This window comes from Homo sapiens, chromosome 10 (assembly GCF_000001405.40).
Source record: "Homo sapiens chromosome 10, GRCh38.p14 Primary Assembly".
Lineage (NCBI taxonomy): Eukaryota > Metazoa > Chordata > Mammalia > Primates > Hominidae > Homo > Homo sapiens.
This window is the reverse complement of record NC_000010.11, coordinates 95266531-95293435: the sequence shown is the minus strand read 5'-3', so window position 1 is coordinate 95293435 and position 26905 is coordinate 95266531. Positions and strand designations below refer to the sequence as shown.

The 26905-nt window shown below is 44.4% G+C and overlaps 1 protein-coding gene across 1 annotated transcript in view, besides 6 other annotated features; it reads left to right on the top strand.

Moving 5' to 3' along the window:
• Positions 363 to 432: a silencer, noted in NCBI's record as "silent region_2644". NCBI's record gives its function as "represses an Ori minimal core promoter by ATAC-STARR-seq in GM12878 lymphoblastoid cells {active_cell/tissue: GM12878}" and the evidence as "EXISTENCE:reporter gene assay evidence [ECO:0000049][PMID:35858748]".
• Positions 2076 to 2155: a silencer, noted in NCBI's record as "silent region_2643". NCBI's record gives its function as "represses an Ori minimal core promoter by ATAC-STARR-seq in GM12878 lymphoblastoid cells {active_cell/tissue: GM12878}" and the evidence as "EXISTENCE:reporter gene assay evidence [ECO:0000049][PMID:35858748]".
• Positions 2206 to 2595: a silencer, noted in NCBI's record as "silent region_2642". NCBI's record gives its function as "represses an Ori minimal core promoter by ATAC-STARR-seq in GM12878 lymphoblastoid cells {active_cell/tissue: GM12878}" and the evidence as "EXISTENCE:reporter gene assay evidence [ECO:0000049][PMID:35858748]".
• The window catches only part of PDLIM1 (PDZ and LIM domain 1), a 53432-nt gene continuing 28959 nt past the window's right edge, over positions 2433 to 26905 (top strand). Inside the window, exons 1-3 of the mRNA NM_020992.4 lie at positions 2433 to 2616; positions 21652 to 21803; positions 24574 to 24658. Of these exons, the coding sequence (NP_066272.1) occupies positions 2521 to 2616; positions 21652 to 21803; positions 24574 to 24658 (333 nt within the window). The 5' untranslated portion in view covers positions 2433 to 2520. The remainder of the gene's footprint in view (positions 2617 to 21651; positions 21804 to 24573; positions 24659 to 26905) is intronic.
• Positions 2646 to 2745: a silencer, noted in NCBI's record as "silent region_2641". NCBI's record gives its function as "represses an Ori minimal core promoter by ATAC-STARR-seq in GM12878 lymphoblastoid cells {active_cell/tissue: GM12878}" and the evidence as "EXISTENCE:reporter gene assay evidence [ECO:0000049][PMID:35858748]".
• Positions 2766 to 2875: a silencer, noted in NCBI's record as "silent region_2640". NCBI's record gives its function as "represses an Ori minimal core promoter by ATAC-STARR-seq in GM12878 lymphoblastoid cells {active_cell/tissue: GM12878}" and the evidence as "EXISTENCE:reporter gene assay evidence [ECO:0000049][PMID:35858748]".
• Positions 3597 to 3916: an enhancer, noted in NCBI's record as "active region_3794". NCBI's record gives its function as "activates an Ori minimal core promoter by ATAC-STARR-seq in GM12878 lymphoblastoid cells {active_cell/tissue: GM12878}" and the evidence as "EXISTENCE:reporter gene assay evidence [ECO:0000049][PMID:35858748]".

Here is a 26905-nt window from a genome sequence, read left to right as displayed (position 1 = left end):
GAGAATGTATTTTTGGTGTTCATAAAGCAGGTGGCTGGTTACTGGCTATAACACCATTCTTTTTCTCAGGTTCAGGAAAGAATATCAGGTTGCAAGAGGTTGAGAGGGATGTATAATCATACAACTCCACTTTCATTTCCTTTTTTTTTTTTTTTTTTAGACCGAGTTTCGCGCTTGTTGCCCAGGCTGGGGTGCAATGGCGTGATCTCGGCTCACCACAACCTCCACCTCCCGGGTTCAAGTGATTCTCCTGCCTCAGACTCCCGAGCAGCTGGGATTACAGGCATGCGCCACCACGCCCGGCTAATTTTTGGTATTTTCAGTAGAGATGGGTTTCTCTATGTTGGTCAGGCTGGTCTCGAACTCCAGACCTCAGGTGATCCGCCCACCTTGGCCTCCCAAAGTGTTGGGATTACAGGTGTGAGCCACCGTGCCCGGCCCTCCACTTGGATTTCTAAAAGCAAACAAACTATTCCCAAACATAGGCATTTGTGCTGTCACACAATTGGACAAGCAAGATAATCTTTTTATGTGTAAATCTGTGCACAGGGCTCTTCAGTAGGTAGGCCAGGATCACAGGGAGACAGAGCTGCACAGGGAACAAACTCATTGAGCATGGGCTCTATGCCAAGCACTGTGCTGGGGCCTGGGTACCAGGATGAATGGGTGCCAAGAAAACTGCGAAGAAACTGGGCCCAGAGAGGGTAAGTGGTCCTGAGGATGGCCAATGTGTTATATACATTAAGTACTATGTGCCAGGCACTATTCTAGGCACTGGGGCACAGCAGTGATCTAAACAGATAAAAACCCCTGTCCTTATGGAATTAATGCTTAAGAGTGGGGGTGGAACAAATAAATATACAAAATATAGAGAATGCCAGATGGTGATACATACAAAAGAAAAAAATAAGGCAGGGGAAGGTAATAGAGCATTCTAGAGAGGATATCTTAAATGATGCTCAGAGATGACCTCAGAAAATGACATTTGCATTTTTTTTATTTTTTAGTTTTTGAGATAGGGTCTCACTCTGTCACCCAGGCTGGAGTACAGTTGCACGACCACAGCTCACTGCAGCCTTGACCTCTCCGGCTCAAGCCATCCTCCCACCTCAGTCTCCCTAGAAGCTGGGACAGGTGTGCCCCACCAAACCTGGTTAATTTTTATTTTTTTAAATTTTTTTGTAGAGACAGGGTCTTGCCGTGTTGCTGGGGCTGGTCTAGAATTCCTGGGCTCAACTGATCCTCCTGACTCAGCCTCCCAAAGTGCCGGGATTCCAGGCGTGAGCCACGTGTCCGGCCCCTAGAAAATGACAGAGAGTGGTGGGGATGTCTGGGAGAACAGCATTGCAGACAGGGCCCTGAGGCAAGGCCCTGAGTTAGGAGCAAGGAGCACAGCCTGGCAGACTGGGGGGCAGGTGAGGAAAGGGCAGGAGGAGTTGGGGTCAGAGAGGGAGTTGGGGCCATTCTAGGGGTGGCCTTGTAGGCATTGTAAGGATCTGGGTTTTCACTGGTGGTGAGGTGGGGACGCCATGGACAGCATGAGAAATGGTCTGGTCCGGCGTGGAGAATGCACTCCACCGGGAGGGCGTCAGGGGGAGCCTGGCTAGGAAGCTGGTGGGAGGCTGGGAATCCAGGTCCCGGACTCAGCTCTTCTTTTGCATTGACTTGGCCCTTGGCCCGCCCCAAACTTGAGGTTTGAACTGTTGAGGTCAGAACCTACCATGAACTCCAGCCTGGAGGAAAGATTTCTAGGAAGGCCTTGAAGTTCAGTTATAACCTGAGTGATGGTCTCATTAGCATTATAAAAGTTCCAGGATGGGGTTCTGCAGCACTGGGCCCGGGCAGTGGTCCAGATGCTGACGAGTGGTGTAGCGTCGGGCAAGTCTTCTCACCTACTGAGCAGACTCAGTTACTTCATCTGTAAAATGGGACTAAACGTCCCGGTTGCCTCAGCATCAAATGAGATCGTTCGAAAGCACCTTTTAAACATCATTACCGATTACAAAAAGCAAATGGGAAGTCGGAGCCGACCTCAGAGGGCTGACTTGGCACAGCACTTCAAATTTCTCGTTTTACAAAGCACGAGGCGCGAGTTTGTCTCGCTGTCAGGACCTGCTTCCCTCTCACCTAGCACCCGCCCCGGGCCCGAGAGCCGCGGTGCGGCCGTGCGTACAGGAGGGAGGGAGGCGGTGTGGGGTCCCGGGCAGAGCTGCTGAGAGCCCCGGCCCCGCATCTGACTCGCGCTCTCTCGGCGGGACTCCGGGCCAGGGCCCCCAGGCCGGCGCGCAGGGCGGGGAGCGGCTGCGGGCGGGAGGACGGGCGGGGCGGCGGGCGGCTACGCGGCCTGGGCGGAGCCGCCCCCGCCCTGGCCCTCGCGGTTGCCCTGCCCCCGCCAGCCCCAGGCTCCCCGGGCCCGCGCCGCGCCGCTCTTTCTCCGACAGCCGCCGGGGGTGCCCTGCAAGCTGTTCCGCGCGTCCTGCCCGTCTGTCCCCGCGGGTCGTCGCCCGCCACAGCCGCGCCATGACCACCCAGCAGATAGACCTCCAGGGCCCGGGGCCGTGGGGCTTCCGCCTCGTGGGCGGCAAGGACTTCGAGCAGCCTCTCGCCATTTCCCGGGTAAGAGCAGCTGGGACGTGCGTGGAAGCGGGGCGCTATGGGAGGTGATATGCGGAGACTGGGGCCCCGCGGGCGCGGTCGGGGACGGAGTCGGAACCGCAGCCGGGCGCGTCCAGGTGCGCTGTTAGTTGAGCGCTCTCCGCGCGCCCGGGCCCCGCCGCTCCCCGCCGCCCCTTCGCGGAGGCTGCGCTCCCGGGCTGGTCGGCCCGCCGCGGGCGCGCTCCGTGTCCGCCAGAAAAAAAGAAGGCAGTTTTCGTTCTTTGGCCCCGGAAGCGCGGCGGGGCGGGTGTTAGTTCTTTGTCAACCAGCGAGGGGACGAGGGTCCCCGCAGATCCCGCGCGCTGGGAGATGGCACTTCTCCCTTCTTCCCAGATCGCAGTGCAGCCGAACGCAACAGGAAAGACCTGGAAAGTGAGGTGGGGTGGGTGGGAAGTTTACTGGGGTGGGGGGCAAGTGGGATTAACCTAAAAAAACAACCGAAACACGCTCTTTGGACTTGACCCACGGCCGAGGCTCGCCCCTCGAATGGCTTTTGGAGAATGTGCTGGATTCGGGAAATAAACACAACAAACAAACTCAAGTAAACCCTCTTGGTCATTCTCCCCTCTGCAGAACGTGGCCCCGCCGTCATTCTTCCTAGCATTCCCAGATTATCTCTTTCCCCTCCCCGCACCAGCCCTTTTTTCTCAGGGCATGAGTAGATACTGCGATGGGGTGTCCACCTGGGGTGGGGTTGAGGTGCTTGAAATCTAAGAGGGGCTTCGGATCTTTAGAAGGACTCACGTTGAATCAGGGGCCACCAGAACCATTGCCCCCCTAATAAAGTGAAACCCCCAGGGAGACCCAGACTCAGTGTTCAGAGGTCTGGGCTTTGGCCATTTAATCTGGCCAAACACAGGTTGATGTCCCACTAAGAGATGTCACGTTCAGTGCTTGGGCACCAAGAAGAGACTCAGTAAGTACCTCGAATGAGGAAAGGGAGAAAAAGAAGTCCCCTTTCTCCCCACCCATGGCCACTCCTTGCCTGTAGGCGGCACATTCCATTCTTGGGCTCATCTGCCTGCTGAAGCTGCCCTTCAGCTTGTCTCCCAGACTTTCTAAACATCCTTCTTTTTCACTTGGGGTTGGGGGAAGGGTGGAGAAGAAAGGGAAATATCCTTATGGATCCTTTTGACTCAAGCTCCTGCGTCCAGCAGCTGAAGGAGTTTGGTGGGAGGTGCAGGAGAAGAATTGGTGGCCTCCTCTTGACTTGTCTGCCAGCCACAGTCCTACCCATGCTTCTTTCCCGGTTGGCCTGGCCCAGTGAGGAGGTCTTCTCTATCTCACCCCCCTAAAAGAGTAGGCGGGCCAGTTTTTGGGCCTTATCTTCCACCTGTTTGCCTCGTCCCACAGAGACCTCTGATTATTCTCAAAGGTACACACTGCCTTTCCAGCCACCAGCCTAATTCCTCAAGCGCAGGAACTGTGCCTTCCCCAGAATCGTCCCCGAGCCTGGTAGCAGACCTGTACCTGGCCGGGCTGGGTAAATCCTTGCAGGCTTATTAATAAATGCTTGTCCAGGGAGGACATTGTGTCTGCACATTTCAACTCGCTTACCTCATAGTCCATTTGTCCCTGTTCTTTGTGTCTATAATTAACCTGTCAGCCCTCTCCACTTCTGAGATTTATATATGACATGAAACCCTTTTTTAAGTAGTGGAGGATGTATTGGCAATCTGTTAAAAGGGCAGTTACTGCCTTTCACTTTAGCTGCTTTTAAAAGTCTTAATGCATGAGTGAATGATGGAATGGGGTGGAAAACACCACACTGTGAATTCATTGGTTTTTACCTTCATATATTCACTCATTTATTATTTATATTATTTATTTATGGCGTGTGCACGTGTTTAATGAGCACGTATCATATTCCAGAAACTGTGCAAACGCCTCAGAAATGAGAGGGCACAGCTCCATTCTCAAGGTGTTCATGGTCTAGTGATGGAAACTAATCTTTATAATGCCCTTGGCAGGTGCTTTAATTGAAAAGTGGAAGTGACTCAGAAGAGGTAACATTTTCATGCTGACAGTAATTTATTTGTTTCTCTTCAGCTCCTTATTAATACATGGAAAAATTGTGAGCCTGTTCACCTCATGGGAATGGGAAAGTCATTGTCATAAAGGGACCCTGGTGTGGCCATCTGAGATCTGGTGCTGGTCCAGTGTCTTCTTGCTTGAGCTGTACCTGGGGTGAATCTTCCACTGTCTGAGGCTACTTAAAAAAAAAAACCTCTGCAGTGGGGATAGCACCAGCCCTTGGCTGTGAGTTAAGGTATGTGAGAGTGCTCCGTAAATAGTGATAGTGAGGAAATGTGAGCACTGACAAAGAGCTGTACACACTTTCTGATTGGTAGGTATGCTACATTATTTATCATCCTGGGCAATTTGCTGGTATAGTTTTGTATATGATAGACTTTGAGTCTCCACACCAAAGCAAACCATAAAATTAGGCTGGGAGAGGAGTGCCTTTTATTTAAATAACCATGTTTGCTTTCTCTTGCATGAATTATTGTGGTATTGGCTCCAGTCTTTTGCTAAACTGCTAAAGCTTCTTAATATAATGCTAATCTTATGTACTTGCAATTTTTTTATTTTTTAACTTATTTTTTATTGTGGAATAAAAAATCATAAAATACAAATGCACAGCAAATGATTATAAAGCAAGCATCTGTATAATCACTACCCAAGTCAAGAAATAGAATATTGCAGCACCCAAAAGTTCCCTAAATGTAACGCTATCCTGACCTATGGTAATCCCTTCCTTGCTTTTCTTCATAGTTTTACCACCTAAATTAGGTATCCCAAATACCATAGCTTAATTTTGCCTGTTTCTGAACAGACTCATACAGAACACGTGTGTGTGTGTGTGAACAGCTTCTTTAGCTCCTTAATGTTTTCATCTAGTATCGTTATCAACTTAAAATTTCAACCCAGGTTTCCAACTTTAAGTGGACATAGGCTAGCTTCTTTTACCCACATTCTCGTTTAGTGCTCTTGCCTTGTGTTCCCTGATGATCCAGCCACACATTTGCCACTGTTCTCTGATATTTTTTTCTGTCAGTTCCTGCTTCAAATCAACACTTGCCCATTTCCTTGAGGTATTTTTTTAATTAAAAAAATTTTCCATGTTAATTTCTCCTTCCCTCTAGTTACTTTCAAGGGAAGCCTTCAGAGAAATACCCAGGCCAACATTGCAACTCAGTTTATGTTGACTGTTTTTCTCTCCCAGCAACTGATAAAAGACAGGAAAGGGTGAGGCCAAGATCAAGGGATGCCCTTAGTTGGAGGAGTTGCTCATTTGTCTCTGGAGTCCTGGGGAACCCTTTGCTAAGAGCTGAGCGGTTCTGTGGCAAATGCTTATGCTTTTTCTCAAGTATCCCAAGGGATGCTTAATAATGGTTACTGTGGCCAGAGGGTCATTTCTGATTTTTAAGAGTGGTATTTCCGGATTCAGATAGATTTTACATCATGTCGTAAAGATTGAAAGAGAAGGGTTTGTCTGTCAGATTATGAAAAGCAGGAAATGTCCAAAAAGGGTCATTATGTTTTAATGGCCATTGTGCTGCATGCCCTTGGTCTGTGAAATTGATACCTGGGAAATATTAGCGACTTCAGCTGCTCACAGCTGACTTAAGGAGAGAGGGGGAAGAGGACAAACCAAAGAGAATGACATGTAAGTGAATGCCTGAGCCCATACTACATTATCACCCTCTGACCAGATAGTCTCCCCTCCCTAAACTCCTGATGCCAACCTTGCTGGTTTGTTTGAGGAGGCAAGAGGGAAGAACAGTGGCTTTAGGGTATTGCAGCCAGGTAGATGACTGAGAGGAGAGTGTCATCTAAGCGTCTGGGTCATATTCTCCTAGGCTGACCAGGACTGGGAAAAGCACCAAGGAATTGCTGTGTACTGGGATCAGGATAGGACTGGCACATTCTTAGGCCATGCCTTAACTCTTGCTCCACAGAGGAGAGGAAAGCTAGCATTCTTTGCCTTTTGCAAACAGAAAAGCTCAGGTGCTCACAGGTTAGGTAATTTGGTTGAATTTACATAATTTCTCACTGGCTGACTTACTACTCAACTTCCTTGTAAAGGATAGGATAGAGACTGGAGCAAAAGTGGTTGTGTCAGAAAACTAACTTTTAAAGGATTATTTCGCTTCCAGTAGGTCTCAGAGGAAAGCCTGGGGGAAGCTTCCAGGACTTTAATTGAGGGCCTGGTACAATGTCCAGGGCAGGGACTCAAGCTGAGCTCTAGTCCGGAGCACCTTGGTGGGTGATCCTGGGAAAATCATATGTCTTCTCCTGGGTTCAGTTCCCTGTAAAGATAAAATAAAATAATATTCCCTGTAAAGATAAAATAAAATAATAAGCAAGCAAACCCAGAGGTTTTCATACCCTTTGAATATGAGAGCTACTTTTTTTTTTTTGAGACAGGGTGTCGCTCTGTTGCCCAGGCTAGAGTTCAGTGGCATGATCTCGGCTCACTGCAACCTCCACCCCCTGGGTTCAAGCGATTCTTGTGCCTCAGCCTCCTGAGTAGCTGGGATCACAGGCATGAGCCACCACATGTGGCTAATTTTTGTATTTTTAGTAGAGATGGGGTTTCGCCATGTTGGCCAGGCTTGTCTCAAACTCCTGGCCTCAAGTGACCTGCCCACCTTAGCCTCCCAAAGTGCTGGGATTACAGGCATGAGCCAAGAGCCCACTTTTTTATTGTTAGAGTGTCCTAGTCTCTCATGGCATTAGTTGTACCTTCAATCATAAGTTGATTTAGAAAACACTGTGATTTCAGGAATGTTTCAGATGTATTTGTCTTCTGTTAATCACAGCAGCATCCATTTACATTTGAAAGATTTGTGTGAGAAATATTTATTTGATCTGCTTGCAGTAATAACCATAGTTAAAACATATATAGGACTTTTAATATGCCAGGCACCATTCTAAGACCATAATATATTCAGTGATCTTCACACGTATTTTGTGAGGTAGGATTAAGATCCCCATTTTACAGATGAGGGAACTGAGGCTTGGAGACCTTAAGTACACTGCCTGCATCATATAGCAGTGAGTGGTAGAGCTGGAGTTTGGCTGGGGAGTCCGGCTTCCAAGCCTGTAGTCTTAATCTCTATGTCATAGTAATATATTAATAACAGCTAACATTTTTTGAGTGCCTGCTCTGTGCTAAGCATGCACTTACATTATCTTCTTCTGTATTCCCCACAACCCATGACAGAGGGACACAGAACACAAAGTCAGACAATTGCAGAGCTGGGAAGTGAAGCCAGGCAGACTCACTTCCAGGCCAGCTTTAACCACTATATTCTGCCTCCTAATAAGCCATAACTGTCAATATTTCATTGCTAACAGTGTTAACCCAGCACACAGCTCTGAAAAGTGCTAAGGGTGGTGCAGGCTTCAACATGAGGGATAAGACACTCCTGGGCTCCACACCCTGGAGCCTCTCATTCTCCTGAGGTTGGTTGGGGTGGCTCTCCAGTTGCCTTGTGGCCTCAGCTCAGAGCACCTCAGAAAGCAGCACCTCCCTTCCCTGTCCCTCCTGAAAAACTGAAAGTCATGGCCCCACCTGGGAGAATTTACAGTCCAGTTATGAGGTTCCATGCCCACTTGGACAGTGAAGAACAAGAGCAGAGGAGTGGAAGGACTGGCTAGAGAAAGACCTGCTTGTGGGGGATAGGAGGGCATTTGGGAATGGTTCTTGTGGTAGATGAAGATGACCAGGCAGTGAACAGTTCCACCTTGCGGTAGCCAAGCTAAGTCCAAAACCGAATATACCCATGAAACCTAAGACAAAAAAGGTAATTCCTGTATGGCTGTTAGCACCCTGTGTGATTATTGATACTCTTGTTAGCCACATCCTGGGCAAATTGGGCTGCTCATCCGTGGCTGAGTTCTGTGGTGCACTTTCCCATGTGTAATACACTGTCTCCTTGGTAAATGCCATAAATACTAAAAATGATTTTGTGAAGAACACAGCGGTCTTGTAGGAGGCCAGATTCCTTACTGAACACTCAGGGACTAATTTTTATAGACACGACCATTCGTATCAAGTAAGACAATAAGAACATAGATAGGACCTAGTTTAGATAAAGATATTGAAAATGCATACAGAGGCTGGGCTTGGTGGCTTATGTCTGTAATCCCAGCACTTTGGGAGGCCAAGGTGGGTGAATCACCTGAGGTCAGGAGTTTGAGGCCAGCCTGGCCAACATGGTGAAACCCTGTCTCTACTAAAAATTCAAAAATTAGCCAGGCGTAGTGGCAGGCACCTGTAGTTCCAGCTACTCAAGAGGCTGAGGCAGGAGAATTGCTCTAACTTGGGAGGCGGAGGTTGCAGTGAGTTGAAATCACGCCACTGCACTCCAGCCTGGGCAACAAGAGCGAAACTCCATCTAGAAAAAAAAAATGCATACAGATAGATTAAATATGGTTGATGCAGCAAATAGTTTGCACCCATTTCTTTAAAAAAATAATAAAAAATACTTATGCTTCTGAAGCTGAGCATACCCATACCATATAACCCAACAGTTCTCCTAGTTAAATAGTCAATAGAAACTGGGTCCACATGAGTGCTAAAGGACAAGTTTGAGAATTTTCCAAGCAACACTATTCATAATAGCCCCAAATTTGAAACGATTCACATGTCTAACAGCAATAGAATAGATAAGTAGTGGGTGTAATTATATGGTATAAAACATCACAGCAACAAGAGTGAAGAAATTACAACTATGCACAGTGACATGAAGGAGACACACACACACACACACACACACACACACACACAGAGAAAAAGGCCATACCTAAGAGTGAAGAGTAAATACTGTGTGATTCCAGTTACATAAAATTAGACAGAATTAATCTACAGTGTTAGCAGTCAGGATCATGGCAGACCTTTGCCGGAAGGTCAGTGACGGAAGGCGGGCACAGGGAGGTTTAGCAGTTCAGGTAATGTCCTCTTCTTTATCCCATGCTGTTTCCTTGGGTGTGCTCTGTATGTGAGAATTCAATCAGCTGTATCGTTACCATTTGTGCTGTATACATGTCATCCTTCAGTAAAGGTTACATAGAAGCCCGCGTAATTGTTTAAAAGATCGGACAATATAAACCTACAGAAAGCATAAGGTAAAAGGCTTCCCCAGTCTTACTTTACAGAGGTAAACACAGTGAACAGCTGGCTGCAAACCTTTCCAGACTTTTTCCGCACACGTAGCATTTCTAAAACCAAATTACTATATCTCAGTGAACTATTGGGACTTCATTGCTTTGTGCTTTCTGCCTTATTTTTACTGTAACAAATCAAGAATTAAAGACATCTTAATGTCAAGGGAAAAATACATTTTTGATATCTGCTAGATCTAGTTCAAACCTTATCTTGTCCATTTACTAGCTTGTATGTTCTTGGACAGGTTAACCCCTGAAAATTCAGTGTCCTCATTTGCAATGTGGGAATAATAGCGCTTGTCTTCAAAGGTTGTGGTGAGGATTAAGATGATATATAGAGAGAGCCTAGTGGTACTATTAAACTATTAAATATTAAAAATATTAATGGTAGCTACTATATATTGAGTGTTTATTACGTGCCAGGCATTGTTCTGAACTCTTTACAAATGCAGTCTCATTTAAGCCTTCCAGCAACCTGATGAGGTTGATGCATTATAAATTTCATTTGATAAATGAAGATACTGAGTCAGAGAGAGTAATTCCCTCAAGGTTTAGTGAGTGTTTAGGCTTTGGGTTATGGGTGGTAGCTGTTGGAGCTATTTAAAAGCACGTAGGGTTCATAGGAGCTTGTTTGGAAACTTTTGAGGAACTCGACGACTTCTTGACGGAGTCTCGCTCTGTCGCCTGGGCTGGAGTGCAGTGGCATGATCTCGGCTCATTGCAACCTCCATCTCCTGGGTTCAAGTGATCCTCCCACCTCAGCCTCCCAAGTAGCTGAGATTACAAGCGTGCGCCATCACACCTGGCTAATTTTTTGTATTTTTAGTAGAGATGGGGTTTCACCATGTTGGTGAACAGGCTGGCCTTGAACTCCTGACTTCAAGTGATCCGCCCATCTCGGCCTCCCAAAGTGCTGGGATTACCGGCATGAGCCACCACGCCTGGCCTCGATGACTTCTTAAGAATTTAGTCAGAGTATTCTATTTGGCTACCTGTTTTATTATATTCCTGTCTGAGAAATGGTGGTCGGTCTTTCAGACTGAGAGAGCAGCACGTCTCTTTGAACTGTCACCCCTTAGCACTAATAACTTCTTTTTGCACCATGCATAGTGTGAAGCTGGATTAAGGTGCAACTTATCTACAAGCATCTACCCTATTTTATTGCCTCATTTCCCTGAGAAAATGGTTATAGACTAACCAAGAACATTTTAAAACAGTGTTATGTTTTCAGGTCACCCTGTGTAAATGCATACAGCTTCTGCAGCCATAATATGGCTGTGAAGTCTGTGCCACAGCCTCGGCTCACAAACATACTGAGTCAGAAGATTCTGACTAAAGAGAGTTCAAATTCCACATGTAAATGGCATCCTACAGAGCTGGGTCCTGCTTTATCCCCAGTTTAGAATCTGTTAAATTTGTACCCAAATACCTTGACACAACTGTTAAATCAGCGGAGATTATGCTTAAAGGCATGTAGCATTGCGATTGAACTTGAATCTCACATTTCTTTATCCCAGTTGTATATAATTATTACTATCGTTATTTAGGCTGTCTCTTTCACTTACTTGCAGGCTTGTCTTAGGCTTGTCTTTCACTTAGTTACACATTTACAATATTTAAAACACAAGAACACATATAAGATTTAACAAAAAATTGGAACATGGAAGAGGAAAGAGAGAGAAGTGCCAGGAACTTTAAATCAGTTGGTTCTGTAATTGCACACTACATTTAGCTGTGAGTTTTCTGGCCAAGGGAAAATAGGACCCACGTCGAGTTATTTAGATATCTTGTTTGGAGTTATTATACTTCTACTGGTTGGACGCAGTGGCTCATGCCTGTGAAACTAGCACTTTGGAAGGCCGAGGTGTGAGGATTGCTTGAGGCCAGGAGTTCAAGACCACCTTGGCCAACACAGTGAGACCCCATCTCTATTTAAAAAAAACAACAAAATTACTTATGCAATGCTTCATTTGCATAGCATTTTCAGGGGTGTTAACCAACATTACAGGGGCTGTATTTTTTTGTTTGTGTTTTGTTTGAGACAGCATCCTGCTCTATTGCCCAAGCTGGAGTGTAGTGGTGCTATCATAGCTAACTGCAGCCTCCACTTCCTCCCAGTTTAAGCGATCCTTCCACCTCAGTCTCCTTGAGTAGCTGGGACTACATGCCTGGCTAATTTTTAATTTCTTGTTCAGACAGGGTCCCACTGTGTTGCCCGGACTAGTTTCAAGATCCTGGGCTTAAGCAGTCTTCCTGCTGTGGCCTCCCAAAGTACTGGGATTATAGGCATGAGCCATCCCTGCCTGGCCTATTTTTTTTTTTTTAAGTCTGTTTTGGTAAGAGATAGAGGAATACTATTCTAATGGATATTCCTTTCAAGGGCTTTGTATGTATTTTATAGGAGTATAAGTTCTGCCCTTGAAGGTGTTTCTGGAGGAGCTGAGATTTTAGGGTCTAATTACTTTTTGTCTACCTGATGACTTTAACTTCATTCAGGGAGAGAGTTTAAGGGGAAAAGATAGTCATAGTCATCATCTCTCTTGGTGTTTCCAAACCTGATGAGCATTAACATTTTCTGGGAAGCTTTAAAAAGGTATGGGTTCTTGGGTTTCACTGTATAGGCTGTCTTTGGTGGATCTGAGATGGGTTGTGGAGCTCTATCTATATTTTGAATCCCTGCCCCCATGGGATCTGATGACCAACCTGTTTGAAAACCATTGCCTCATCCTTGCAAATATCACAGTTGGCTGAGTATTGGTGAGTGGGGTTGATTTCTGGCCTGAGGTTTAGAGCCAACTCCAAGGGGCAAGGTTAACAACGTTCCATAAAGAGTCAGGAAATTGACCTGTAGTCCTGTCCACAAATAAGCCTTCTGAATAGACACGGTTTTTCCCTCAAGAAAAAGAAAAAAATAAAACAAAGCAAAAACCTCTGCCTGAGAACCATTTAAACCATTTGACAAATATTTGGTTAAAACCCCCACCTCTGTCAAAAAGGCAACAGTACTGTTTATTATCCAGGCTGGAGTACTTCTGCGAATGAAATGGGGTGGTCTTGATAGTTAAGCTGTTTTGGGCAAATCAGGGCATTTGGTAATCCTAGTCATAAAGTATTTCTACATATAATCATGCTTTCCATAACTTTTAAACTGAGCCAGTGGTCACAAACTCATTTGTATCAAGGGGCTAGGAGGCAACACAAGAGTTTTTAAATTTTTTTTTAATTTTTTGGAGATGGAATCTCGCTCTGTTGCCCAGGCTGGAGTGCAGTGGGGTGATCTTGGCTCATTGCAACCTCTGCCTCCCCGGTTCAAGTGATTCTCCTGCCTCAGCCTCCTGAGTAGCTGGGATTACAGGCACCTGCCACCACCTGGCTAATTTTTTGTATTTTTAGTAGAGACGGGGTTTTGCCATGTTGGCCAGGCTGGTCTTGAACTCCTGACCTCTAGTGATCCACCCACCCTGGCCTCCCAGAGAGCTGGGATTACAGGTGTGAGCCACCATGCCTGGCCTAAAATTTGTTTTTTTAAAAAGAAAATTTACTAAAAAGGACTAATATGCTCATACTTACTCATTTTTGTTAAATTCTGTATGTTATATATGTAAAAGAACATTTTAAAAAATGCAACTTTTAAGAACTTGGCATTGGGTTTATGTTGCCTAGAATTGAAGCATATGGCCTGTTTGCAGCAGGAAGTTGCCTGGTAAATAATATTTTTCCTCATCGCTGAATCCCAGTGGGTCCCCAGTGGGATCTCTGCTATCTTTTCTTTCTTTGCCCACCAAAACTGTTTCTTTGCCTATGAGAATTAAATAAGAATGTTGCTTGGCTTGTTTGAGAATCACATTTTCTTGCTGCATCCATTTCTGCTTTAGTAATTTTACAGAAGGCAAATTATAATCCCTAGTCCAAACCATTTCTAGCACAGGGACAACGTTTTGCTCCCCTGAGTAATCACAGTAAACTCTGACTCAGCCCAGTGTGTAGCATGCAGAGCTCAGCGTGTTGGTTGAATCAACAAATGATGTGGACCAGACCTCCAAAATGATTTCCCCTAAAAACTGGCACCCTTTAAGGCAGTAGAGAGGAAAAGCGTTAGAGTTGGGGTTTGAATTGCCTCACCCAGTAAGCTCTGCTCAATTATTTTTTCCCCATACTGTATTAGAAGAGTCAAGAAGGTAGTTATATTGTGGTATAAAGTATAATTATATGTGTGTATTAGAATGGGAAAAAATGGCTAGAAACTTATATACCATAATAAATGAGTTTTGAGTAGGTGAGATAGTCAGAAAATTAATAGCTGCAAGAATGATCATAAATGGTAACAGGTACTGGGTTTCTGTGGCTGGGGCAGTAGAGCATGGTAGAGCCTGTGGCTAAATGGAGAGCATGTGTCTCATATAGAGGATCAGAGGCTCCTCATTTGGTGCTGATTGTTGCCATATGGGAATCTAGGCCCAGAATTGCCAGATTTTCTGATTTTTCTAAAGAAGCTGCGAATCTAGGGGTTTGAGTGATTTTGTTGATATATAAATATTGGCATGTAATTTAAATGTAAGAAAAAAAACAAGACTGTTGGCTGGGTCCATTTCACAGGCCTCTAGCTTTCAATCTTGAGCCAGAGAGTTAAAGGAACCCCATCTAGCTGTCAGTAGAACATGTGATTTTTAAGTAGGACTGCCTTCTGAAAGACCTGCTAGGGAAAGCCAGCCACAGAATGGCTGACCTAGAGGCCCAAAACGGGTGACCCCTTGAATGGGTTTGCTTCTTTGAGCGTCGGTTAGAGTATCTGTCAAATGCAGTCACCTTAATCTCAGCAGAGCTAAGGCTCAGTGGTTGTTTCTTGGCAGTTGACTGGGCAGTCAATGTCAGATGCTATGTTTCAATTTCTTTGTTGGTCTCCTAGTCTGTGTTTACATCTACAGCCTCATCCTCTTCCTCTCCCTTCGCTTGCTAAATTTCTTTCTTTTCTTTTCTTTTTTTTTTTTGAGACTTGGCATGCTCTTTCCTTTTGCTTTTTTCCTTTTGTGGCTTTGCACAGTTTTAAGCAGCACCTCCTCCAGGGAGTGTTCCGTGATTCCACCTTTAGGCCCCTACTACCTTGTTGGTTCTAGCACAACACTCATCAGCTGTTGTACATGCTTGTCTCCCCCCAGGAGACTGTGAGCTTCTTGATGGCAGGCACCACCCTTTTCACAGCTGAGTTCCAGTGCCTTGTGTGGTTCCTGGAATCTACAAACAATAGCTCACATTTCTGGAGCCCTGACAGTGGGGGCTCTGCCTGAATTGCCTAATGTAATCCTCGCAACAGCCTTCTGATGTCAAAGCTGTTCTTTTCATCCTTGGTGCATCCTTGTTTACACAGAGGTGAAATACCCTGCCCAAGGACACTTAGCTCACAAGCCAGGCAGGACTTGAACCCTGGCCATCTGACTCCAGAAACCACATCTTAATGAACAAGTTACACTGTCTTTCAGAATGTACATAAGGATGTCTGATAAGTGAATGAACAGAGAGAGAAAGAAGGAACAGGGGAGGGATGAAGTAGAAACATGCCATTATCACTGAGGAGGAGGGTTATCTTTTTATTTGTCATGGGTATGCATCCAGTTCTGTATGATAGTAGTGTCATTTAGGTATGTAGTTATTTAAATGTAAGTTGAAGAAAGTGGGAGAGCTACATCATCATCCGATTTTATTTACACCAGTTAGAAGTGCAGTTAAACTTCAAACACCTTCTTATGTGCTCAGGACTGGCAGCAGTGGACAGGTCTTAAAGATGCATTATGAACTTGGAGTGGAGAACATGTTGGCCTCTAAGCAAGCAGTGTCTGCCTGGGGTGCTGGTGGGGACGAAGAGTGAGGGACACAAGAATGAATTGAGCAGAAAATGATAGATTGTTCATTAGTGGAAATTGTTGTGCCTAAACCCGTTTACTGTTTTATTTTATTTTATTTTATTTTTAGACATTCTTACTCTGTTGCCCAGGCTGGAGTGCAGTGGTGTGATCTCGGCTCACTGCAACCTCCACCTCCTGGGTTCAAGCAATTCTCCTGTCTCAGCCCCCTGAGTAATTGGGATTACAGGCAGTGTGCATCACCACAGCTGGCTAATTTTTGTATTTTTAGTAGAGATAGGGTTTCACCATGTTGGCCAGGCTGGTCTTGAACTCCTCAGCTCATGTGATCTGCCTGCCATCTGACCTCCCAAAAGTGCTTGGCCTCTCAAAGTGCTGGGATTACAGGCATGAGCTACTGTGCCTGTCCCCATTTATTCTTATGCAGCAAGAGTTGTGTGATCTAGTTGTATGGTCTCTGGGGAAAAAGGCTGGCAATGGCACGTTCATTGAACTAATGGGAGTGAGTATATAATTTTTTTTTTTCTTGTTCTGAGACAAGTCTCACTCTATCACCCAGGCTGGAGTTCAGTGGCACAGTCTCAGCTCACTGCAGCCTCTACCTCCTGGGTACAAGCTATCCTCCCACCTCAGCCTCCTGAGTAGCTGGGACTACAGGCGTGTGCCACCACACCTGGCAAATTTTTTTTGTATTTTGTAGAGACAGGGTTACGCCATGTTGCCCAGGTTGGTCTCGAACTCCTGAGCTCAAGGCGAGCCACTTACCTTGGTCTCCCACAGTGCTGGGATTACAGGCGTAAGCCACCATGCCTGGCCCAGAAGTTTTTTTTTTTTTTTTTTTTTTTTTTTTAGGAAACTGAAGCTGACTCTATTATGAGCTGGTTCTGATGGAACTTGATGGTCAGGAGGAAATTAGAGCAGATAGTGTGGCCTAGTTGGTTAAGTGGGTGGACTCTGGAGCCTGCTGTGGCCTGCCGCTCACCAGCTGTGCAACCTCAGGCAAACTGCTTAACCCCTGTTCCTCCATTTCCTCATCTGTAATGATGCAGATAACATTGCCTGTCTGGTAGCATCACGTGAATATTGGTGAGTTAACCCTTGCTAAAGACTTTGTCATGCTTGGTACCTAAACGCTCATTAACTGATGGCTGTCATTTTGATTATGATTGTGATAAATAGTGTTTGGCAAGGATTGGAATCCACCATTCAAGACAGGAACTATCCAGTGTTGGAGGCACAGGCCTTCTCTCCTGTAACCCTTGTCACTTCTGTGTTATGGTTTGTAAATTTTATAATGGGTGGGGTTACTGGGCCCCAGATCAGTACAGGGCAGGGGAGTGACTGTCCTGTGGTAGGGAGGCACTCAGCCAGCATCAGGACTTTGTGACACTCCAGGTCCTATGTAGAAGGCCACTGCAGATGAGTCTCCTGGATTTTTTTTTTTTGGCTTTGACAGTTGAGTTTGGAGCCTCTGCTTGTGGCATTGTGCTAAAGCAAAAAGGAATGGAATTTGCAATGAGAGAGCCTTTCAAGTTCAGGCTCAGCCTTTAGCTGTGTGAACTTGAACCACTCACAATTTTTCTGAATCTCAATTTCCTCATCTGTAAAGTTTATCTAATATGTTGGTGGTGAGGTAATCATATTATTATCTCAAATAGGAGATTGTATATGAAAGGGCTTTGGAAAGGCAAATCCCATTATTTGTTTAAATCAATTTTTTCCCCTAAAAAAGATAGCTCATAAAAGAATGTGAACTTAATCTGTATGTGTAATTTCTTTCAAGTCCTATCTGATGTTGCTTGTGACTTTCTGAGATTTCCTTTGGCTTCTTACCAGTTTGGCTTTAAAAAAAAAACAAAGAAATTATACTGAAAGATAGGATGACCAGACCTCAATTACTCAGGCTTGGGGCGCCTAAGACTGGTTCTAGCTTGTCCAGGACCTGTTGGGATATACTTAGCAGAAATGTCTCTCCCACAAAACAGTTGGAACCAAATGCTGGACATTCTGGACTTCTCAGCAGTTCACCGTAAAAAAGTGAAAGGAAACTTCTTTTTCATCTTCTCAACCTCTCCAGTTCCAATCTCATTTGAGTTTTGTGAGTGGTCATGCTTCAGGATAGCAGTGTAGAGGGAAATGATTATTTCATTTTTGAAATAAAAATATTTTTGATGTTTTTGAAATAATTCATTTTAAAGGATAAAATGAAGCAGGCTGATTACATATTTAACAACACTAGGTGTTTTAGAGCCAATCATTTATTATACAGATATTTATTGAGCACCTACTATGTTCCAGTTATTGGGTGTTGAGGATACTGTAACTGCCCAGTGGATTCTTGCCCATTGCCCAGATAGAGCTGATTTATCAAGACAGGGGATTTGCAATACAGAAAGTTTAATACACGTAGAGCTGGCTAAATGGAAGACTAGAGTTTTATTATTACTCAAATCAGCCTCCATGAAAGTTGAAGGCTAGGGGTTTTCAAAGATAGTTCGGCAGGCAGGGGGCTAGGGAAGGTGAATGCTGATTGGTTGGGCATGCCATCACAGGGGTGTGGAAAACAGTGTGTTGAGTTCGCATCTTGGTCGGGGGGCATCCAGTAGGTAGTCAGAAATGCAAAAGCCTGAAAGGACATCGCAAAAGGCCAATCTTAGGTTCTACAATAGGGGTGTTATTTACAGGAGTAACTGGGGAAGTTGCAAATATTGTGAGCTCTGGAATAATGGCTGGTAATCATTTAACTATGCCTACATCTTAGCAGAATTCAGGCCCCTCTCATCCTCCTAACCTGGTGGTCTTTCGTTAGTTTTTCAGACAGTTTAGTTTTGGAAAGTGCTACCATCATTTAAACTATACACTAAAATTTCTCCGGAAGTTAGCTTTGCTGATGCCCAGGAATGACCAAAGACAGTTTGGAGGTTAAAGGCAAGATGAAATTGGTTAGGCCAGATCTTTAACTGTCATAATTTTCTCACTGTTAAAATTTTTGCAATATCACAGCACAGAAGGCAGACAAAATCCTGCCCTCATGCACCTTACTGCTGAGTAGGCCTTTCAACATTAAACAAACTAACCCACCAAGGAGGTTTGCAAACATAAAGTGACCAGTGCCGTGAAGAAGAACCAAGTGTATTAAAAGGATGACTGAGCTGGGCATGGTGGCTCACGCCTGTAATCCCAGCACTTTGGGAGGCCGAGGTGGGTGGATCACCTGAGGTCAGGAGTTCGAGACCAGCCTGGCCAACATGGTGAAAAAACCCCATCTCTTCTAAAAATACAAAAAATTAGCTGGGCATGGTGGTGCAGCCTGTAATCCCAGCTACTCAGGAGGCTGAGACAGGAGAATCGCTTGAACCCGGGAGGTGGAGGTTGCAGTGAGCCGAGACTGCGCCACTGTACACCAACCTGGTCAACAAGAGCGAAACTCCGTCTCAAAAAAAAAAAAAAAAAGGATGACTGTGGGGGTATAGCTTAGATTGGAGGTGAAGGAAGGCCTCTTTGAGAAGAAGGGTTGTTTACACAGACACTTGGAAGATGAGAAGTTAATCAGGCAGAGGTAAAGGCAGGTGTGAAAGTCCTGAGGCCCTGTAGCTGGAGCCCAGTGGGGAAGAGGCATGATGTGGGTGGGGAGGGAGGCACTGGCTTTAGCGGCCTTGTTAAAGATTTTGGATTTCATCCTAAGGGGACTGCTCTTTGAAACTGCTAGATTTAGCTATGATAAATGAGTTCCATAAGGCATTATTCTCCTTGATTCAGGCTGCTCTCCTTGGAGTTAGAGTTTGTCAGTCAAGAACGCTTGCCAATCCCAAATAAAATGATGCTTAGAGCCGTTTAAAAACTGAGCCTGCGTTGTCCTTTAGTAACAGTGAAGTGTGTATGAAGATGCACCAGATCAGTCTTCTCAGGACAACAGGTCAGAAAACGGAGGAATTTTTTTTTATTGCATGCACTGGATGACTCAGAAGCTAACTCTCATTGTTGACTGAAATGAGAGCGGCCTGTGCTTGCCTGGATAAAAAGTCCTGTCCCAGTGGCTGGATGAGGGGACGATCTGAACCTTGAATCAGGAGGCTGCTTTCGTTTCCTAAAACCCAGATCTCTGGTAAACAAATGATGGGAGAGCCAGAAAGGAAGGTTAGGAGGTCAGGATCTCGGTACTGGTTTCCACATCCTGCCACATTCCAGGAGAGTTTTGCCTGATAAAGTCATAGCATGTGCGGGCCAGAAGGGACCTCAAGGATCAACTTGTCCTCATTTTTTGGGGTCAGGGTGCTGATGGGGAATGCACCATAATAGCGGCACCACACTAGCTGCGCTGAGGGCTAATCGGAAACTGTAGCTGCTGAAAACTGCATCAGATACTGAGGTTTAGGACCCAACTTGTGTGTCCTGGTTTGGTGCCTTGAAGAACCTGTTACCTGTGGTTCAGCCATAAGGAGACACCCAGGTGTTCATAAGATCTTCCTCAACTGGATCCCGAGAGTCAAGGGCCTTCTCCAAAGGGTGGCCAGAGCCCTGTGGGCACTGGGAGCCTGGGGGTGTTACTGCCACCTTGATCCTGCGGACTTGGAATTCCCATCCAGGAAGGTCTTGTAATGTGGAAAAAAAAAGTTGTGAACTTACCCTGGGATGATGACAGTAATATTTTTAGTATACCTTAGTTTAGAAAATCTAACCAGATACCTTGGTTAGAGATAGTACTCTGAGGTGAGTACTATTTCAAAATGAGTTTGGATCTTGTTCATTCTAATAGCATCTGTATTCACTTGAAAAATGGTTGTACATCAGTGTAGGAGATGTGATATGTATTGAGTCCGCATGTATTGCTCTGTAGGCAGGTGAATTTAAGGACCTATTGCAGTAATTGATTGGCTTCCCCCAAGCATCAATGATCTGTCAATTTGGAACCACTGGTTTTAGAAGCATCAGTCTGCAGAAAACCAGCCGTCTATAGGGAATGACCCTAGTCATTTTGGGAGATTAAACCAGTATAAACCTATACTACCATACTTTAGGATATCCTTGATTGCTTTTAACAATTTTTTTTTAAATTTTTATTTTATTATTATTATTATTTTTTGAGACGAAATCTCACTCTGTTGCCCAGGCTGGAGTACAGAGGCATGATCTTGGCTCACTGCAACCTCCACCTTCTGGGTTCAAGTGATCCTCCTGCCTCAGCCTCCTGAATAGCTGAGATCACACCCGGCTAATTTTTTTGTATTTTTGTTAGAGACAGGGTTTCACCATGCTGGCCAGGCTGGTCTCAAACTCGTGGCCTCAGGTGATCCGCCTGCCTTGGCCTCCCAAAGTGCTGGGATTACAGGCATGAGCCACCATGCCTGGTCAACAATTTTTTAAATTAAAAAGTAATTCAATATTATTGTAAAAAACATTGCAAAACTGTATAACTGTGAACAATTTAGTGTGCAGTGTTTCCACTTTCTTTTGTATATATAACATTATTAAGATTTTTAAAGAAATAGGGTATTATAGTATATAATGTTCTCTAAATGTGTGTGTGTGTGTTTTTTTAAATGTAATTGTTAACTAATTTTAAGGAAGCAAACGTGGTTCAGTGGGAAGGACATCAGATCTGTTCGGGGTTTGTTTCCTGGCTCAGTAATACACTAGTTGGAGGACCAGTAATATAATAATATACTAGTTGGGTGATCCTGGGTAAGTCATAGGTCTTTCTAAGCCTCAGATCCTGGTCTTGGAAATGGGGACTGCTATTTGTCCTCCTTTCTCATAAGGTTGCTATAGGGATACAATGAGATCATATTAGAAAAGCCCTCTTTGTCAATGATAATATAAATGATTGTTATTATTTAAGCTATGATTTCAGCCCTCTTTTCTTTTTCAGGGCTTTGCTCCATATCAGTGAATACTTAACTTGGTGGTAACTTAGTGGTTTGGAGACAAATAGTAACTAGCCTGCTTTCCCCTTTTTTTCTAGGTCACTCCTGGAAGCAAGGCGGCTCTAGCTAATTTATGTATTGGAGATGTAATCACAGCCATTGATGGGGAAAATACTAGCAATATGACACACTTGGAAGCTCAGAACAGAATCAAAGGCTGCACAGACAACTTGACTCTCACTGTAGCCAGGTGAAGCCTATGGAAACGTTTTGTTCATTTCTGATTGACTAGAAGCTGTTTGTGGGCAGGGACTGCCTTCCCTATCTCAGAATCCCCCAGACCTCCTAGCTCAGTGCCATGTATATACTATAGGCATGCCAAAAGGTCTGTGGAATTTGAACTTCAGATTGCTTATTTCCCCTCTATTTTTTTTTTTTTTTTTTTTGAGACGGAGTCTCACTCTGTTGCCCAGGCTGGAGTGCAGTGGTGCAATCTCAGCTCACTGCAACCTCTGCCTCCCGGGTTCAAGTGACTCTCCTGCCTTAGCCTCCTGAGTAGCTGGGATTACAGATGTGCACCACCACACCCAGCAAATTTTTGTATTTTTAGTAGAGATGGGGTTTCACCATGTTGGCCAGGCTGGCCTCGAACTCCTGACCTCAGGTGATCCACCTGCCTTGGCCTCCCAAAGTGCTAGGATTACAGGTGTGAGCCACCGTGCCCAGCCCCCCTCTGATTTTCACGGTGCTTATGATGTGGGCTTCTTTCAGTAAGATACTTGCATTTTCACTTGATCCAACTCAACCAAAATTTTGAGTAAGTAAAATGTCCTGGCCAGGTGCGGTGGCTCTCTTTGTAATCCCAGCACTTTGGGAGGCCGAGGCAGACAAATCACTTGAGGTCTGGAGTTTGAGACCAGCCTGGCCAACATGGTGAAACCCTATCTCCACTAAAAATTAAAAAATTAGCCAGGTGTGGTAGCGTGCACCTGTAGTTCCAGCTACTCGGGAGGCCGAGGCAGGAGAATCACTTGAACCCAGGAGGCAGAGTTTGCAGTGAGCTGAGATGGCGTCACTGCACTCCAGCCTGGGCGACAGAGCGAAACTCCATCTCAAAAAAAAAAATGTCCTTAGGATGCTGCTGCTACTGCATTGTGCTGAGCAGTGGGTACCATGCCAGGAGATTGCAATAACAGAGAAAAACTTGAACACATTAGCAGCAGAGTACTGAGTGTAACTTTAGGTACATGACAAGCAAGGAGCGCTGGGGATAAAAGAATGAATGAGGGTAGCACCTTGGGAGCTGTAATTAGGGTAGAATTTCCATTCTTCTTTCATTTAGCCTTGGAAGGGGTCCCGCAAAGGCAGGATTTCGGAAGTGATTTGGTTCAACCCTCAGTTGGCTCCCTGTTTCCTACTGCATCAAATTCAGATGTTTCATTCTGATCACCTGTTATCTCACTAACCTTAGCTGCCACAGCTCTTTGTCATGGAGCCTTTGGTTAGATTCTCATCTGTGAAGTATGTTTTTTGCTTTTTTTTTTTTGCTTTGTGGCACAGGACTGGCAGGTGGATCGAGTGTGGGGGAGTATATAAAAATATTTTGTACACTTCAGAGACCTACCCCATGAGAGGTACACTGTGTTATTACTACCCCCTCAAAAGCACATCTGCCCTTCATTCTCATCTCCATTTCTATCTTTGTCCAAATCCTCTCCTTCAAGCCCGAGTTCAGGACATTCATTCATTCATTGATTAATTGATTTTTTATTTGTTTACCGGCATGTTGAAAAGGGACATCTTGTATATCTGGCATAGACATTGTGACAAATATAAAGTTAAGTATGGCCAGGTATGGTGGCTCTAGTCTGTAATCCCAGCACTTTGGGAGGCCGAGGTGGGTAGATCACCTGAGGTTAGGAGTTCAAGACCAGCCTGGCCAACATGATGAAACCCTGTTTCTACAAAAACACAAAAAAATTAGCTAGGGATGATGGCAGGTGCCTGTAATCTCAGCTACTCGGGAGACTGGGCTGGGAGAATCGCTTGAGCCTGGGAAGCGGAGGTTGCAGTGAGCCAAGATCACGCCATTCATTGCACTCCAGCCTGGGCGACAGAGCGAGACTCTGTCTCAAAAAATAAATAAATAAAATAAATAAAGATAAGTATAAATATTTTCTACCTGCAAGAGAGGAAACAACGACACTAATGAAAACTGAGACTAAAGTAAAATCATTGCTCTGTGGTTGGTACAAAGAAAATAGTTTATAAGAGCAAAAGAGGGGCGTTCTTCTCTTTTTTTTTTTTTTTTGGGATGGAGTCTCACTCTGTCACCCAGGCTGAAGTGCAGTGGTGCTATCTCAGCTCACTGCAACCTCTGCCTCCTGGGTTTAAGCAAGTCTCCTGCCTCAGCCTCCCGAGTAGCTGGGATTATAGGCGTATGCCACCACACCCGGCTAATTTTTGTATTTTTAGTGGAGATGGGGTTTCACCATGTTGGCCAGGCTGATGTCAAACTCCAGACCTCAAGTGATTTCCCCACCTCAGCCTCCCAAAGTGCTGGGATTACAGGCGTGAGCCACCACGCCCGGCCAAGAGGCATTATTTTCATTTGGGTCAAACAGGCTTCACAAATAAGTTGGTTATTTGGTCTGGACCAAACACACTGGGTTGAGATAGAGGAGAAGCCCATTCTATCCTGAGCAGAGATAGGGCAGTGTGAGTCATGCTTAGGAACATGGAGGAGACCACACTGCTGGTGTCAGCTACCCAGAGTGTGGTGAGGGAGGATGAAGTGCTTGGGAAGCCCCTTGGGGCTATGCTGGGGAGCCATCAGCCATGGATGTTATCAGATTGGGGTGTTTAAAAGATCAACCTGGTGGCAAATGGAAGGTAGAGCTGATGGGAGGGTGCTAGTTCAGTGCCTAGTCCAGGAAAGAGGGGGCATTTTTCCAGTTTGTCTTTGGTATATATTATTTATTTTACATGAGTGAAACAGCAGCTTTGTTAATCTGTTGCAGATCTGAACATAAAGTCTGGTCTCCTCTGGTGACGGAGGAAGGGAAGCGTCATCCATACAAGATGAATTTAGCCTCTGAACCCCAGGTAAGTTCTTGCTCATCGTTGCCGCTGCTCTCACCACCCAGCACTTTGCCGTTTCTGACACTGCTCAGCACATTCCTGTTTTTCCTGCCCTGGAGGCCTGGGGATAAGACCCTTCACTGTCTCTGCTGGTATCTGGCTCTTGTTCAGTTCTTCCCGTAAGGGAACTGCAGGAGGATAGGGCTGGAAAACCCCAGGGCAGTGACGCTGTGTCCTGGGCTGGAAGCAGGGGGTCGGAAGGCGATAAGGGAAGCCGGTGGAAGCCTTCCTGCGTGGGAAGGGTTGGCAGGATCACAGTGAAGTCAAGGAGCTATTCAGCTCGTTATGGATTTCAGCAACAAATGAATCATGACAGGGATGAAAATAAGTTTAGGTCTGGAGGCCTAGAGCCTAGAAGAAATCGGGGAATATGTAATAGGAAGCCCTGCTTCTCCCCACTGTATGCCCCTGTCTGGTTTCCATGAGCCATGGAGTGGAAATCTCTATTTTTGTTACAGTGAAACTTCTAGTGAGACTTTAAAATTACTAAAATAAAGCAGCAATTAATATAAAAAAAAGCAGTACATAGTGTACAATTTGTCACCCAGATAGAATTTCTCAGGACAGTAGACTGCCCTAAGATCCCATATTTGTGAATAAATCTCTCAGTAGTTGGATTATTGGATTGTAGGTGATTTTATTTCTTTCTGCCTTATGTGCCTCTTCTAAATAATCTACAAGGCATGGGTATTGTTTTTGAAATAAGGGACAAACTTAGAGATGTTTAGAACATCTTTTGTAAAATTCCTCACACCCAACATGCTACTTGTCTCAAAGTATGTGTCTGTTGGATACATTAATGAATTAGTAATGATAAACTAGGTATGTTGATAATGCCTTTTGAAAATTTTACACTGGTTTGTGATGGTTATGCATTTGACCCAAGTTGAAGATTTGAAATTTAACTTATTTTTCTAAATTTGGGATACTATTTAGTTTTTATGGTGAATTAAGATGTAATTAAAATACAATATATAGCTAGCTATCTTTTATACATAAAACAGAAACTTGTATGAAGTTGAACTCACTTGGTATATTAGTGTGTGTTAATTGGGTGGTTGGATATAAGTCATATTTTCTCAAATAGAATCCATTAAAATTTCAAAAACGAAGTCACATAAAATTTTTGCCATTAAGATAGTAAAAATAATTATTAAAAATCCCAAGAGTCATTTTAAGGATCATTTTGCATCATTTCAAAACTGATGTGAACATATTCTTCTATACAACTCCTCTCAGGAAAGTTCGTAAAATGGCACTTGGTCTATACACTGGCAGTTGTGCAAACTAATTTAAAACATGCCACAGTTAGTTTCAGTTTCCTTGGGAGTTCTCAGCTACTTCATTAAATTTACCATAAATGTTAAATTTTAATTGTTAAATTTTAATTTTTACATATTTTATAACACACAAGGAATGATTTCGTTTTAACTTGGTCTATCTGAAATCCTCATTTTCATGTAAATAAGGTAATTATGTAAATTTCAGTTATAGTTTTCATTTGTAGTATATTTGAATTTTCATTTTAAATCTGTAGTTACCTGTATTAATCTTTTGAAGGTAGTTCTCTTCAGATTACAAAAATTCTCAAATACTTTAAACCCTTGTATTTTTCTTGTGATTCTAGTAATGCTTTATTACTGTAAGAAAAACTTCTCACCCATCATTTTTCCAGTCTTTTACTTCCAGCCATTCTAAAGTAGAGGATAAATGAGTAAGAGCAGAGTTCATCTATAATAAAAAGATCTGTTGGTTCATGTAATGCCAACCAACACCCCAGCTTATCTGAGGTCAGCATAGTTACACACCTAGTTTGTACTTCCTCATTATTGAGTTTCCTTGGAGACTGATAAATACAAAGCCCAAACAATTACATCATCCCTTCTAAAAGGCAAGCCCTGAATCTGCCTGCTTTCTGGAAAGACCAGTCAGTATTCAGATGAGGGTAGAGATATTCCTTTTATGTACAAACCAGATGCATTCTTGAAAGATTCTTTAGAAAGTGAAATCATCCGAATTTTCAACCTGAATTTTCCATTGACTTCCATTCTAATTGGAAATGTGTTTCGGTGGAGGGAGAAGGGAACAGACCCTGGTTGAATATGTGCCACGAGCCAGGCACTGTACTTGACACTCTAGTAACTCACACAAATCCTTGTAAAGAAGGCTTTATCTTCTTCATTTTAAAGATGAAAAATGGGCTTAGAGGGG